This window comes from Homo sapiens, chromosome 3 (genome assembly GCF_000001405.40).
Source record: "Homo sapiens chromosome 3, GRCh38.p14 Primary Assembly".
NCBI lineage: Eukaryota > Metazoa > Chordata > Mammalia > Primates > Hominidae > Homo > Homo sapiens.
Window position 1 is genome coordinate 14,878,486 of NC_000003.12, and position 15,498 is coordinate 14,893,983.

Below are 15,498 nucleotides of genomic sequence, written 5' to 3' on the forward strand. Positions count from 1 at the left end.
CAACAAGGATAATGATGGCCAATAATTCCATAGTGCTTGCTGTGTGCCAGGCACAGTTCCAAGTGTGAGAGATTCTCTATATAGACACTCATCTGATCCTTATGACATGCATGTGTGCTGGATACTATTCTCCTACTGTGCCCATTTCACAGGTAAGAAAATTGAGGCACAGAGAGCTAAATGACTTGTTCAACAAATAAGAGTTAGAGACAGGAAACTGCCTAGTTCCAAAGCCCATGCTTTTTTTTTTTTTTTTTTGAGACGGAGTCTCACACTGTCGCCCAGGCTGGAGTGCAATGGCGCAATCTCGGCTCACTACAACCTCCGCCTCCTGCCTCAGTCTCCCGAGTAGCTGGGATCACAGGCGCCCACCACCATGCCCGGCTAATCTTTTTGTATTTTTAGTAGAGACAGGGTTTCGCTGTGTTGGCCAGGCTGGTCTCGAACTCTTAACCTCATGTTCCACCCGCCTTAGCCTCCCAAAGTGCTGGGATTACAGGCGTGAGCCACTGTGCCCGGCCTCAGAGCCCATGCTTTTAACCACAACACTATGCAGTGACTTTCTCAGCAGTGATTTTCTCATCACTAGAGTGGATCACTCACTTGACGAGTGGCTTCTTAAGTTTAGTAACACACAAGGTTCAGCACAGAAGGGAATTTAGAGGTTAGTTTGTCCACATATGAGGAAACTGAGGCTTGACCTTGAAAGTGATTTGTATAGAGTTGTACCAGGAGGCAGGTGTTCCCAGCTGAGTGCCCTCTGCTCTGCCATGGGCCACCGCTGCCAGCCACGCCTGCACATTCACAGCCTCCCCCGTCTATTTCATCAGGCCGCCACAGCGTGTCTTTGCATCTCTGGATCCCAGCCACTAGTTGTGTCTGATATCCGGCAGGTTTGGGGCCACCCAGCAGGAGCCTGCTTGTGGCAGAAGGCCCAGGCATCTGTCTCAGCCCAGCCCATCCTTCCTGTTTATAGACATAATCTCAGTCTATTTCCAGATCATATAGGTGTGGAAGCTGGGGCTCACCATCTGAGGTCAGCCTGCAGAGTTAGTGCTTCCCAAGGGGAATGAATGTGCGCTCGCTCACTCACTCACTCCTCACTCACTCTTTCAGTCAACAAAGAGAACTACCATATGCTAAGCACTGGTCATGCAGATGTGGGAGTTCCTGGTCCCTGCCCTCCTGGAGAGATGTAATTGTTTCACAGTAATGATAAGTGTCGTGAGAGGGGGATGCTCAGAAACGATACCTAGCCCAGCCCGTTGAGCAGGGAGGATCAGGAGAGGCTTCTTGGAGGAGGTGCTGCCGTGGCTAAGTCTTATAGGATGACTGGGAGTTAGCCAGGTAGAGGGAGGGGGAAAGGATGCTGAGGGAACAGCATGTACAAAAGCAAGAGAAAAGAGAGAATTCCTCAGTACAGGGAACCACAGGTTGCTCAAGATTGGTGGGGTCATGAAGTGGGATATAAAGGTCATGCCATCATCATGGCCATTGAGCATTTACTAAATGGCAGGTGCCATGCTGGGCATTAGCTCAACAACCTTCAGAGTTAGGTGCTGTTAAAATCTGCATTTACAGCTGGGCTCGGTGGCTCATGCCTATAATTTCAGCACTTTGGGAGGCCAAGGTGAGCGGATTGCTTGAGCCCAGGAGTTCAAGACCAGCCTTGAACTGGTCAATGTAATGAGACCCTGTCTCTACAAAAAATTTTAAAAATTAGCCAGGTGTGGTGGTACATACCTATAGTCCCAGCTACTCAGGAGGCTGAGGTAGGAGGATCGCTTGAGCCTGAGAATTCGAGTCTGCAGGGAACTGAGATCACGCCACTGCACTCCAGCCTGGGTGATAGAGCATGACCTTGTCTCAAATAAAATAAATACATTTTTAAAATAAAATAAAATCCACATTTCCAGATGAGGAAACTGAGGTGCAGAGAGGTTAAATAAGTTGTTGAAGAACATACAAGTAATGAGTGCCAGGAAATGGTCTGCAAAATGCTTGGAACTTGCCTCCAGCAGCATGGTGGCCTCCTCTAGAAACCACTGATGCCTGTCCCACCTGATTGCTCTCTTTCCTCCCACAGGTGGAAGGACAGTCCAGAGCCCTTGTCATCGCACAGGAACTGCTATCTTCAGAGAAAGCGTGAGTCCCCAAGGAGCTGCCTGTGGCCTTGAGCTTATAAACAAAACGTCACCCTCCTGGGCTTACACAGGATGGGGATTAATGCAGCCTCAACCCTCTTTCCCTCTGCAGATACGTGGAGATGCTCCAGCACTTAAATCTGGTGAGTTAATCATTTTAATTGTCCAAAACTAATTGCCCTTTTACAAGTCTGTGATATAAGAGGCAGGAAAGCAATGTGGAGACAGAGGTGATTTCCATTAACAGAGGCCTGGCAGCAGGCAGGCACTCACCGACGCTTTTCAGGGAAGTCCGTCTCCTGATTAATGTGCTTCCGGGGGCAGACAGCGGATGCGTCTCCTTGCTCAGGGATGGGGTGCATGGGGGCATGGTCTGAGGTTTTGTGCAGGTTGTTTGAGGTTTCCTTAGCCCTCTTGCTGAGAAAGGCAGGAAGAGGACAGTGGAGTGTTTCTGGGGATTGCTATGTGTGAGTTTGTGTATGTGAGTTTGTGCACCTGTGTGTGTGTGATGTTTATGTTCGTATGGAGAAGGTGTCTGCCTGGTGACAGAGCAGCTGAGGGTATCAAGAGTCTTCCTCAGTCTCCTTAGTGTCAGGGTGGTAGTGCCTGAGCTGGTGGTGAGGGGCTCCTTTGGGCTTTCAGAGGAAAGGAGGCCAGACTTGGGGACAGGCACTGCTCCCCTTCGTAACTCACAGGACAGCTTGCAGAGTGTCCCTTTGCAGTCAGCTCAGTTCAGTTCAGCAGACATTGTTTTGAGCTCTCGCTGCATAACAAGAACTGGAGAATGGGAAGACAGGTCAGACAGGGCCCTTCCCCAGGAGCTGTCTGGCCAGCAAAGGGGACGGATGAGGGGGTGACCAACAACCTTGGGCAGGCTTCCCTGAGGAGGTGATATTAAGGGCTAGGCCATAGCGAAGCGTGAGAAGAGGGCACAGCAAAGACTCGGGAAGTAGGGAACCATGGCAGTCTCAGGCTTCCTGCTCCCTTGAGCTCTCTCTGGGCCATTTGCACTCTTGCCATGGTTGAGCACTGGGTTCTATGGTGCTTTGAATCATTCACCATCTCTAAGAATGTCAGAGCTGGGAATGTGCACCTGGACATTTTGTAGGTGGTGATGTGGAAGCCCAGAGGAGGTGACATGGCCCAAGTCACACAGTGGTGGAGCCAGGACAAGCACCAGGTCTCCTGGCTCCCAGGCCACTCCCCTCGCATTCACTGGGTGTTCCTGGCTGCCTTGGGAGCTCCATGGGGCAGGGACCATCTCTGGGTGTACCAGAGCACTCAACATCAAGCCAGGCCTCTTGCTGAACCCAGCTGAGGTCCCTGTCAGCAATGTCACCCTGGCATCACATCCCCACATGAGCTGATAGCAGCCAGGACCCCAGGAGGGCGGATAGAGCACTACTCTGGTCTGGTGCTCTCGGCCCCTCATTTTTGTGCCCTCAGGATGAAAGCCTTGTGTGCACTCTTGAACCCCAAAGCCCTCAAGTATGAAATGTACCAGCCCCCATTCAGCTTTTATACCTAAAAGATCTATTTGGCAAAGGCCTGAAGGATCAGTTTCCCATTTTTTTTTTAACTTCTCTCTCCCTTATTTCTGGGCTGACAGCATGACAGAGGGGCTGGGCAATTTTGTTTTATGACTTCATAAGAGGGTTTTAACTGGGAAACTTGCATCTATGTTTGCCCTGCTTCCTGCCAGTTGGAAAGACATTGAAGCCCCTGGTAATCCATAATAAGATCCTGAGGATGGGGTGAAGGGAGAGCCCATAAAAGTCATCACTCAGGCCAGGCGCGATGGCTCATGCCTGTAATCTCAGCACTTTGGGAGGCCGAGGTGGGCTGATCATCTGAGATCAGGAGTTCGAGACCAGCCTGGCCAACATGGTGAAACCCCATCTCTACTGAAAATACAAAAATTAGCCAGGCATGGTGGTGGGCGCTTGTAATCCCAGCTACTCAGGAGGCTAAGAGAGGAGAATCACTTGAACCCAGGAGAAGGAGGTTGCAGTGAGCCGAGATCGTGCCACTGCACTCCAGCCTGGGTGACAGAGGGAGACTCTGTCTGAAAAAAAAAAAAAAAAAGTCACCACTTAGAAGTTGGTTGCAGGAAGTTGTGGTCTGGAGCTGTATTTTAACATATCAGTGCTTACAGGGATAGAGGGGGCAGACATCTCCCAGTGTGACTCCAGGTCCTAGCTAGGGACATGAGTCTTAAAGGAGACCCATAGACTTTGGGGCACTCTCCACCACTCCCTGGCTTCGAATCTATCCCTGGTTGCTAAGCTTGGCAAGTTCTTCAGAATTTCCTCTTAGAGATTGGTGCTGTCGAGATCCCAAGGCTGTCCAGTGATGAGGAGGAGCTGACGGTGTCCCCCAAATCTCCCCAGCAGGAAGGGTCCTGGGTTCATTGTGCTATTGTTGTTGGGGGCGCGGAGTGGCCTTCTGTGTTTGAGGTGTAGCTCTGTGCTTGTCACATGGTAGTTATAGCTAACTCAGTGGCTGCCATGAATTCTAGTCATCCTGATGGCCACAGTCCTGGGTTTGTGTAACCTATGGGCTCCATAGGAATGGAGTTTACATTTTTAAACATTTGTGAAAAAAGACAAAGGAGAATATGCGACTGAGACCACATGTGGGTCACAAAGCTTAAAATATTTATCATCTGGCCCCTTACAGAAAAAGCTTACTGACTTCTGGTTTAACGGCTGCCTTCCATCCTTCCAGGAACCCAGTCATAAGAACTTTCCTCACCTGCGCATCTGTCAATCTCTACCCGTCCACCTAGCCAGCCAGCCTTTCACCCACTCATCTGTCCTTTCATCTATTCATGCATCAAGTGACACAACCATGCACCCATTCACTCTCAATTAATCTACTACTCAGATGTCTACCCACCTATCCAACCATCCGTCCATTCCTCATCTACCCATCCAAACAGCAATCCATCCATTCATCTATCCATCTGAATTGACCATTCATTCTGGAAACATCACAGGATGTTTACTGTAGGCACTGAAATAGGCCTTGGAGCCCCAAAGCTGAATAAGGCTCTGAACCTGCCCTTGAGTAGGTTTCCTTTTGCAGGGAGAGAGGGTGGAGGTGGGGAGGAGAAATCAGTATGTGAACAGACAATTTACATTACTCCATGTAAGTATAATTTGCAGAACTGTAGTTTTGTGCAGAATCTGCAGGGGCATGAGGGAGGGAAAGACATATGCAGGAAGGTTTGCGGAAGAGGTGCCACTGAGATGGACTCTCGGAGTTCACCAGGCCAGGGTAGTGGTGGAAGAGGGCGTGTAAGGTAAGGGAGTCAGCATGAGCAAATGCTCACAGGCTCATGGTATGTTTGGAGAATGACACATCATTGCACATGGTTAGAACATAGAAAATTTTGGAAAGCCAGGTAGGAGGTAGGATCAGGGATCAAGAAATGGATCCCCAAATAAGGCTAGGACCAGATCGAGAAGTACCAAAAATGCTGGGCCAAGGACCTTATGCCTTTCCTTGTACATGGTGAACAGCTAGAGATTTTGAACAGGTGTGGCACCTGGACACCTTCTATCCTCTGTTTTTTCATCTAAAACAAGTCTCTCCTAGAGGAAGCCAAAAGTTCCTACCAATCCCTCCTTTGGGCTAAGCCATTCAGAAGGCCTGTTCAGAAGCCAGTTTGCTGATTGGGAGATAACTCTGGAAGTTGTCACCATCCTGCCCCAGGATAAGTTTCCCCACACAGGAGGCCCACATGACCTGGCCCCTGTCCACCTCTCTGGCAGTACCTCCTTTACCGTTTACTTCATCACTGCCTTCAGCCACACTGGCCTTCTTTCTGTTCTTCAGATACTGCGAATGCATTCACATCTCACAGTTTTGCTCTTCCCTCTGCTGGAAGGTCCTACCCCGATCTTCCCATTCAGGTCTCAGCTCAAGTGTTACCACTTCAAACTACTGGTGCCCCAGAACTTAGTGGCATAAGACAACCATGCTGTTATGCTCACAGACTCTCTGGACTAGAAATTTCGACAGGGCACGGTGGTGGGAGTTGGTCTCTGTTCCATGATGTCTGGGGCCTCAGCTGGAAGACTTAAAGACCGGGGGTGACCTGATGGCTAGGAGCTGGGATCACCGGAGGTGTCTTCATGTAGGCAGCCGAAGGCCCATGGGAAGTGACCAACTCAGCATTCCACTGGAGGCTATATGATCAAACAGCAAACTGTTTATCATGAGTGCAGGATGTGGGCAAACTCACGACTGCGCCTGCCGACAAAAAGTTTGCTGGAGGCATTCACTCCCTGGCGCCGAGGTTATCTACCGCGACATCTAGAGAAAGCAGTCTTGCAAGCCTGCTCTGGACCGAACAGCTGACCCCTTCTTCCACCTCCCTCCTCACTATCTCTTTTGCCTAATAAATACAGAGGGCTGTGTAAAGCTTAGGGCCCTTGTCCACTAGAGGCAAGGTGACCCCTTCTTCCAAATATACTCTTTTGACTCTTATCTTTTATTCCCACGTTCGCCCCCTTTGTTCAGTTCCTCTAGGTCTGTGCAGGTTACATAGTAGACAAAAGAGTATATTTGGAAGAAGGGGTCAGGGGGCACCTTGCCTCTAGTGGACAAGGGTCCAGAGCTTTACACAGCCCTCTGTATTTATTAGGCAAAACAGATAGTGAGAAGAGAGGTGGAAGAAGGGGTCAGCTGTTCGGTCCAGAGTAGGCTTGCAAGACTGCTTTCTCTAGATGTCGCGGTAGATAACCTCAGTGCCAGGGAGTGATTGCCTCCAGCAAACCTTCTGTCCGCAGGTGCAGTCGTGAGTTTGCCCACATCCTGCATTCATGATAAACAGTTTGCTCTTTGATCATATAGCCTCCAGCGGAATGCTGAGTTGGTCACGTCCCACGGGCCTTCGGCTCCCTACATCTTCACTCACACATCAGGTGGTTGAGGCTGGCTGTTGTCCGAGACTTAAGCTGGGAGGTTGGCCAGAACACTTATCTGTGGCCACTCCATGTGGTCTCTGCCTACGCGAGTTTGGGCTTCTGCACAGCATGGTGGCTGGGTTCTAAGAGTAAGTGTCCCGAGAGAGCAGGTAGAAGTGAATGGCATTTTTATGATCTGGCCTTGGAAGTCCTATAGCACCACTTCCACCATACCCTATGAGTTAAGACAGTCACAAAGGTCTACCCAGGTTCAATGGGAGGGGACATAGTCTCTCCTATTCAATGGGAGGAATATTGAGCTCACATTGTATAAAGACCATTGAGATAGGAGAGATTGTTGTGGGTGTTTTTGGAAAAGACAGTCTACTACAGAAGTTTTTCCTAAACATTCTGTGTTGGTTAGGAATTGTGTTTGACTGCTAGTAACAAAAACTCAATTACCATGGCTTAAGTAATTTAGAGATTCTTCTTTCTTGTGAAATAAATCCAGAAGCAGGCGATCCAGGTCAAATCTGGCAACTCCACGCAGTCTCAGGGACTAAAGTTCCATCTGCAGCATCCATTTCCAAGGTTTCTCATGAACACAGGTTGGCTGCTGCAGTTTTAACCATTGCATCTATATCCCAGGCAGGAAGAAGGAGAAAGGTAGAAAAGCAACAGGTCATGTCTCCCAGCTGGGTTAGTCCCCTGAAAGCTTCACTTGTCAAACTTCTCCTTTCATCTCCTTGGGTACTCCTAGTTGCAGAGGAAGCTGAGTGAAAGCTGGGTTCATCTTGGTGGCTCTGCTTCTTGTGTGTTCATCCTGGGACCTGGGCTGAAGGGGCAGCACGCACCCCGGGAAGCTCTTCCCATGGCGATGGCAGGAGAAACAGCAGAGGGCTTCTTAGAATCAAGTTCACAACTGGCACATCATCCTTTCCACACACACCCCAGTGGCAGCAGCAGGTGCCATGGCCAGACCCAAAGGCGTAAGGGGCAGGGACGTGCTCTCCCCTCCGATGAGGCTGTGGCAAGGGTGTGGACACGGGGAGGGTGACACACTGTAGGTGTACTTCCCTCCTCTGCACTCCCTCTCACACCTCGTTTTCTTCACACCACCTTTCCCTGTTTGAAATTACCTAATTTATGTATTTGTGACTGGTTATGTTGTGTTTTCATTTTCATGCGGCTCACAATACTTTCTATTAATAATCCCCTTTGTGATTTCTTCTTTGACCCATGGATTATTTAAAACTGCGTCGTGTAACTTCCAAGTATTTGTGTGTTTCCCACATCTCCTGCTGCTGATTTCTAATTTATCCTTCTGCTAATCCCATTGTGGTTGGAAAACATATTTTTTATGGTTTCAGTCCTTTTAAATTTACTTAAATGTATTTTATGGCCCAGCATACGCCCTAGCCTACCTGGAGAATGTTCCATGTGTATTTGAGAAGGATGGGCCCTCTGCTCTTGTTGAGTGGGGTGTTCTGTGGATGCTGCATAGGTCGAGCTGACGGATCCTGTTGAGTCTTCTGCATCCTCACTTTTTGTCTATTGTTGAGAGAGGCGTATTGACCTGTCAGCCATGATTATTGGGTTGTATGTCTCTCCGTCAGTTGTCAGGTTTTGCTTCATGTGTTTTGGGGCTCTTTTTAGGTGCTTGTTTGCTGTCTGCCTTCATCACTAAACTCTGAGCTCCTTGAGGGCAAAGAGCTGGACCCGTACCCTTGTTCCCAGTGGCTTGTGATGCCTGGTACACAGCTGATGCTCAGTATGTATCCAGTGAATGAGTGATGGTGGAGCAAGTTCTCCTCCCAGCAGTCCTATCCTTTCTTCAGACAAAAAAAACTTCCTGCCAGGCATGGGGGTGCATGCCTGTAGTCTTAGCTACTTGGGAGGCTGAGGCAGGAGAATCACTTGAGCTTAGGTTGCAGTGTACCTTGATCGTACCTGTAAATAGCCACTGCACTCCAGCCTGAGCAACATAGCAAGACCCTGTCCCTAAAAAAAAAAAATTAAAATAAGAAAATAAACTTCCTGAGCACCTGGTCTGGGTGACATATCAGGGAGTGATGGCAGGGAAAGTCTCCGCCCTCAAGGCACTGATGGTCTAGAGAGAGAGATTGGCAGGAAAAAGAACAATAGTAACGCAGTGGTGGAGGGTATACAGAGGTTTAGGGACTTGAAGGAGGCATCCAGCCCAGTCTTCTTGGAGTTAGAGAGGGATGCCCAGAGGAAAATGTGTTGAATAGCCAGGTGGGGGTGCAGTGAAGAAGGCTGTGCCTGGCAACAGGATCAACATTTGCAAAGGCCTGGAGGTCAGTTAAGAATGGCACATTTAGGCCCGGTATGGTGGCTCACACCTGAAGTCCCAACAATTTGGGAGACCAAGGCGGGAAGATTGTTTAAGGCCAGGAGTTTGAGACCAGCCTGGGAAACATAGTGAGACCCCATCACTACAAAAAAAAAAATTTTTTTTTAGCCAGACATGGTGGCTCATGCCTGTAATCCCAGCTACTTGGGAGGCTGAGGTGGGAGGATCACTTGAGCTTAGGAGTTTGAGGCTGCAGTGAGCTATGAGCATACCACTATGCTCCAGCCTGGGTGACAGAGAGATCCTTTCTCGAAAAAAAAAAAAATACAGATGCTCAGATTCCGCCCTCAGAGATATTTACTTAATTGATCTGTAACAGCCTAATCATTGACGTACCAGACATTAAGCACAGTCTTGAACAAAGCTGAGCAAATCTGAAGTCGAAAATAAGTGAACGAGGCACACTGCTCTCTCTTAGTTAGAGGGGAGGTAACAGAAACATACAGGATACGTGAATAGTCTGACAATGCAGTATTTTGTTGCTTTTTCAGACTGGCATACATGTAACCCAGCCCCAGCTGTGCAGTAGGTGCCCAGGAGGGCTAAAGGCCTCTGGCTAAACATGGCGTATTTTCTAAGAACCTCCATTTTGCTCCAGATACATAATTTTAAATAAATTAAACTAGATATGGATATATTTCAGAGACTAATGTAAAATATGCATTCTTTTTTTAAAGTTAAAATAATAGACTTCAAAGACATTTCTGAGATTAGAGTAGCGCCCTTCAGGCTCTGACCCCAAATTTCTGGAGTAGGACACTTGAGAGGCCCTTAGGACTGACTGCTGAAGTAACCCAAGAGGGCCTCATGAAGGAGGTGGTCTTTAAAGTAGCTTTGAAAGATCAGCAAGATGTGTATTGGATGATGGAAGTGCAGAACAAAGACACAGAGGCTGGAGAAGGGGATTCATAGAAAGCAGTAGTTCTCAAAGCATAGTCTTCAGACCAGCAGCGTCAGCATCACCTGGGAAACTGTGAGAAATGAAAATTATCCCGCCCCAGCCAAGACCTGCTGAATGGAAACTCAGGCGGAATGGAGGATGGGCAGCAATCTATGTTTTCCTAAGCCTGGCAGGTAATTTGGATGCACACTCAAATTGGGGAACCATTGTTACACAGAAGTGAACAGTCAGCTGCAGTAGTAGCTGCACCAGCTCCTGCAGGGACATGGTCACCAGGCCAAGGAGTTTAACTTGGTGCTGAGGGCAGGCAGGGCCACGAAGAGTTTGGAGGAGAGGTGAAAAAAATGGGGAGCGCTTGCTTGTCTTCCCTCCCCCAGGGGCGTATGTTTGTACACTTGTAACTCTCGCCCGGATAGAACATTTCCATCATCCCAGAAGATTCCTGTCATACCCTCCCAAAGGTTACCACTGTTTTGCTCTCTGTCACATGAGAGTGGTTTAGCTTGTTCCTGGATGGAATGGAATCATAAATTAGGTACTGTTACGTGTCTGGCTGCTTTAGCTCAACAGTCTGTGAGATTTAGCCAGCTGTTCACGGGTATCAGTGTTCTTTGGTAGGGATAGCCTATAGTCGGGTTGTCTGTGCTCCTGTGCATGAACACGTGGATGGCTTTCCAGTTTTAGAAAGCTGCTGTGAACATCACCATAAACACCTGAAGTCATTTCTCCTTGGTATTTACCCAGGAGAGGAATTGCAGAGTCACGGGATAAGCATAGACATAGCTTTACTAGATACTGCCAGATAGGTTTACAAAGAGGTTAAAACAATATATATTCCCCCTCCAGTGTATGAGACCAGTGTTTGTTCCACACTCTTGCCAACATGTTGGTATTGTCGGCCTCTGTACTTGTGGCCATTCTGCTGATTGTGTAGTGGTGTCTCCCTGTGGCTTAATTTGCATTTCCCTGATGATTAATAAAACGGAATCCTTCGTTCTGTTTATTAGCCATTTGGGAACGCTTTTGAATGTTTCTTTTGCTTTTTTTTTAAAAAAATTGAGGTATCTTTTTTGTATTGCTCTTAGAAGCTCTTTAAGTATTCTGGACACAAGTCCACCTTCACATCTGGGGATTACGCATATTCTCTCAATCTGTGACTTCCTTACCCAGTTTTTTTTAACAGCTTCATTGAGATATAAATCTCATATTGTACATTTCAGCCCTTCAAAGTGTAAAATTTCATGGTTTTCAGTATATTCTCAGCGTTACACGATCATTGCACACACGGCCACACACTCCGCCTGAACCGTACTCCACCCCTCAGCTCCTCTTCCGCCTCAGGACCTTTGCACCTGGCATCCCTTCTGCCTGGGATGCTTACCTCTTGTCTCAGCATAGGCACTGCCTCCTTGGAAGGCTTTCCCACGGCCAAGCCAGGTCTCCCTTCTCTGGTTTGCTGGGTCCTATGCTTTTCCCCATCACAACATAGGCTCCTGTGTTGAAATAGTCTTTTTACTCCTGGCTTTGGAAGAATTACCCAGGTTGCAAACTCTCTGAGGGCAGAAGTGCATCTCTCCATGCTCCCACTGTTTCCTCCGGGCTTGGTGCAGAGCAGGCACTCCGAATATTTGCTGAATGAATAAAGGAATGAGGACGGGTGCCTCCTACCCACTTCCTCCCTCTCAGATGGCTGCCAGGACCCCCAGGTATGATGATGGGCCCAAGTTGATGAGTTGATGAGACAGCAGAACCCTTTCAGGGAGTGATGGATGGTGAGGCTGGCACTCAGCACTTCCAGCTGGTGCATGAGTTTTAAGAACGGATGTTTGTGACAATTCTGATTACGTTCTAGTTTTTGAAATGAGTCATGTTGGTGGTGGCCATCCTGCCCATTGGGACTGAGTCGATTCAGTGAGAATTAATTACAGACGAGAAACCAGCTTGCAGAGCAATTAATATTTAAGCTCCCTGGAGAGTGTTGCAAATACAGCCGGTCTTGTCTTTGCCTGTTCTTCCTTTTCTCTCCCAGCACTGTACAATTGACAAAGCAGTTGTAATCATCAGGAAGAGCCTCTCTGCAGCCTCCTGCTATACTTTGTGGTACTGTTATCCCCATTTTACAGGTGAGGAAATTGAGACTCAGACAGGTGACAGCTTGCCCAGTCGTCCAATACCCTATCTAGCATCTGGGCTTGAACCCAGCCCAGAACAAATGAGAGTGTGTTGAAAGCCCCTTGTCAGACAATGCCCACACAAGAGAGATCGTTGCCCTCATCAGTATACAGGGCTGTTTTTCTTTCTTTTCCTGGGATGCCAGGGCTCAGAAGAGCCTGCAGGGCTGGAGGCTGGGTCCTAAATATGGAGACTCACGGGGAAAGAGTTGGGAGTCCTCCTGCCCCAGGTCGGCAGGGAAACCTCCACCCCAGGCTCAGAATGACCCCAGTACCCCAGAGCCAGCTGTGGCAGAAGTCAGAATTACCCACCACCTCCATCCAGCCGCCCTCTGCACCTGCTGCCCTACTCACAACCCTCACCTCCTGTGCCCTCTAAAACATGCTTTCAGGAAAGGCTCTGATAGCTCCTGTACAAGGACATTCAGTTTCTCTTTACAGCTTAGCCATGTGGCTTCCTCATAGGAACACACATACCTTCATCCCAGAGAGTCCATTCGTTAGTTCAAGACTCAGCCCCTTGAGGGTTTCTGACCTTCACGTTGGGGCTAGAGGTTTCCCAAGACCTTGAATTGTGCTGGACTGGGGCTGGCCAGTCTCGGGCAGGAACCAGCTCATCCTCCCTCCTTGGGACTGCAAGCCAGAGTGGGCCACCCTCCTCGTGTCCTCCCCGTAGTTCCTGGCAGAGCAGGCTATCAGCAGGAGGTGAGCACAGGACAGGATGAGTTGTTCAGGAAGCACAGACCTTTTTAAACTCCACATCTGCTCTTCTTGTCTGATGGCGCAGGCACACGCCTCTGGGCAGATGTTGGAGGCACAGTGCGAGGGGGTCTCTCAGTCTCTACATCTCACCCTGGAGCCCTCCTTCCATCTCCCTTCATGCCCCCTTCCTCCTTCCCTCCTTCTCTTCCTCTCACTCTCCCCTTCTCTCTCTCTCTCTTTCTTTTTCTCTCTTTCTCCCTCTCTCTCATACCTGTTCACTGGATCTGTTTCCTTGTTTTTCTTTTTCTCTCCCCGTTTCCCTCTCTGTCCCATCCCACCTCCCTGTCCTCTTTTCTACCCCTCACTGTTCCCCTGCAGGGAGGGGTAGAAAAGCCTCTGGCCTTCACTTGGGGAGAGAAGGCCAGAAAGGCTTCCTGGAGGAAGGGCTGTCCATCCTCTCTCTCAGGCACTTTCTACTTTTCAATCCTTATATACAAAAGACCTTTTTTTTTTATTTTTTTATTTTTTTGAGACAGGGTCTAGCTCTATCACCCAGGCTGGAGTGTAGTGGCGCTATCACAACTCACTGCAGTCTCGACCTCCCAGATTCAAATGATCCTCCCACCTCAGTGTCCCAAGTAGCTGGAACTATAGGCGTGCACCACCATGCCTGGAGAATTTTTTATATTTTTGGCAGTCTCGCCATGTTGCCCAGGCTGGTCTCCATCCAACTCTTAGTCTCAAGCGATCCTCCCGTGTTGGCCTTTGAAGGTGCTGGGATTACAGATGTGAACCACTGCATCTGGCCTAAAGAAGATCTTTCCAGCAGTAGAAACTGTCCAGCAGGCCGGGCGCGGTGGCTCATGCCTGTAATCCTAGCACTTTGGGAGGCCGAGGCGGGCAGATCACCTGAGGTCAGGAGTTTGAGACCAGCCTTGCCAACATGGTGAAACTCTGTCTCTACTAAAAATACAAAAATTTAGCCAGGCGTGGCAGCAGGTGCCTGTAATCTCAGGTATTCAGAAGGCTGAGACAGGAGAATCACTTGGACCTGGGAGGCAGAGGTTGCCGTGAGCCAAGATCATGCCATTGCACTCCAGACTGGGCAACAAGAGCAAAAATCCATCTCAAAAAAAAAAAAGAAAGAAAGAAAGAAAGAAAACTGTCTAGTAGCGGGGTGAAATGTCTTGCCCCATAGTCCAGCTCCCCATCAGGGAGACAATCCAACAAGGTAGAGGAATCATCTTTCCTGAGTGTTGAGGGTGATTTGAACTTCTCCATTTGGGCAAGAGTGCATGATCTCTGACCCTGGGATTTTCCCAATATGCATTGCTCCACAGCTCAAGGTGGTTTCAGGATTCCCTGCCCCCACCCAAGCCGTGTATTTACAGCTGTAGAGCTAGGCCTCATGCAAGAGCAAATGTATTTGAAGATAAAATATTTTTCTTGTGAGAAAGAAATCTTTATAAATTTTTATTCTTTAATTTATTAAAAAATGCATCATAGATGTACATAGTTTCAGGGTATGTGATCATTTAATATGTTTATATAATTTGTAAAGAGCAAATCAGTGTACTTGGAATATTTATCACCTTAAATATTTGTCTTTATGCTGGAAACATTCAAATTATTCTCTTCTGGTTATTTTATTTATTTATTTATTATGTATTTATTTTTTAGAGGCAGAGTCTCACTCTGTCAACCAGGTTGGAGTGCAGTGACACGACCATAGCTCACTGCAGCCTGGAACTCCTGGGCTCAAGCAATCTTCCTGCTTCAGCAAATACCTGGAACCACAGTGATGCGCCAACAAGCCCAGCTAACCTTTTAAATTTTTTGTAAAGACGGAGTCTCAATATATTGCCCAGGCTAGTCTTGAACTCCTGACTTCAAGTAGTCCTCCGGCCTTGGCTTCCCAAAGTGCTGGGATTATAGGTGTGAGCCACCATGCCTGGCCTCTTCTAGCTATTTCAAAATGTATAGTCCATTATCGTAAACTATAGTTGCCGTACTGATTTATCTAATATTCGGTCTTATTTCTTTTTCTTTCTTTTCTTTTTTCTTTTTTTTTTTTTTTTTTTTGAGACAGAGTCTCTCTCTGTTGCCCAAGCTGGAGTGCAGTGGCCATGCAATCTCAGCTCATTGCAACCTCTGCCTCCCAGGTTCAAGCGATTCTCCTGCCTCAGCCTCTTGAGTAGCTTGGATTACAGGCACCGGCCATCAGACCTGGCTAATTTTTGTATTTTTAGTAGAGACAGGGTTTCACCATGTTGGTCTGGTTGGTCTCAAACTC

At 48.2% G+C, this 15,498-nt stretch overlaps 1 protein-coding gene across 6 annotated transcripts in view, besides 1 other annotated feature; it reads left to right on the forward strand.

The window, feature by feature from the left end:
- The window catches only part of FGD5 (FYVE, RhoGEF and PH domain containing 5), a 123,884-nt gene that overhangs the window by 67,798 nt on the left and 40,588 nt on the right, over window positions 1–15,498 (forward strand). For all 6 annotated transcript variants that reach the window (XM_011533422.2, XM_011533423.2, XM_047447514.1 and 3 more), the window contains 2 exons: window positions 2,087–2,145; window positions 2,257–2,287. In XM_011533422.2, coding sequence (XP_011531724.2) covers window positions 2,087–2,145; window positions 2,257–2,287 — 90 coding nt within the window. The remainder of the gene's footprint in view (window positions 1–2,086; window positions 2,146–2,256; window positions 2,288–15,498) is intronic.
- Window positions 335–836: an enhancer, noted in NCBI's record as "H3K4me1 hESC enhancer chr3:14920327-14920828 (GRCh37/hg19 assembly coordinates)". NCBI's record gives its function as "activates a minimal SCP1, AML or CMV promoter by ChIP-STARR-seq in primed H9 embryonic stem cells {active_cell/tissue: H9 hESC(primed)}" and the evidence as "EXISTENCE:reporter gene assay evidence [ECO:0000049][PMID:30033119]".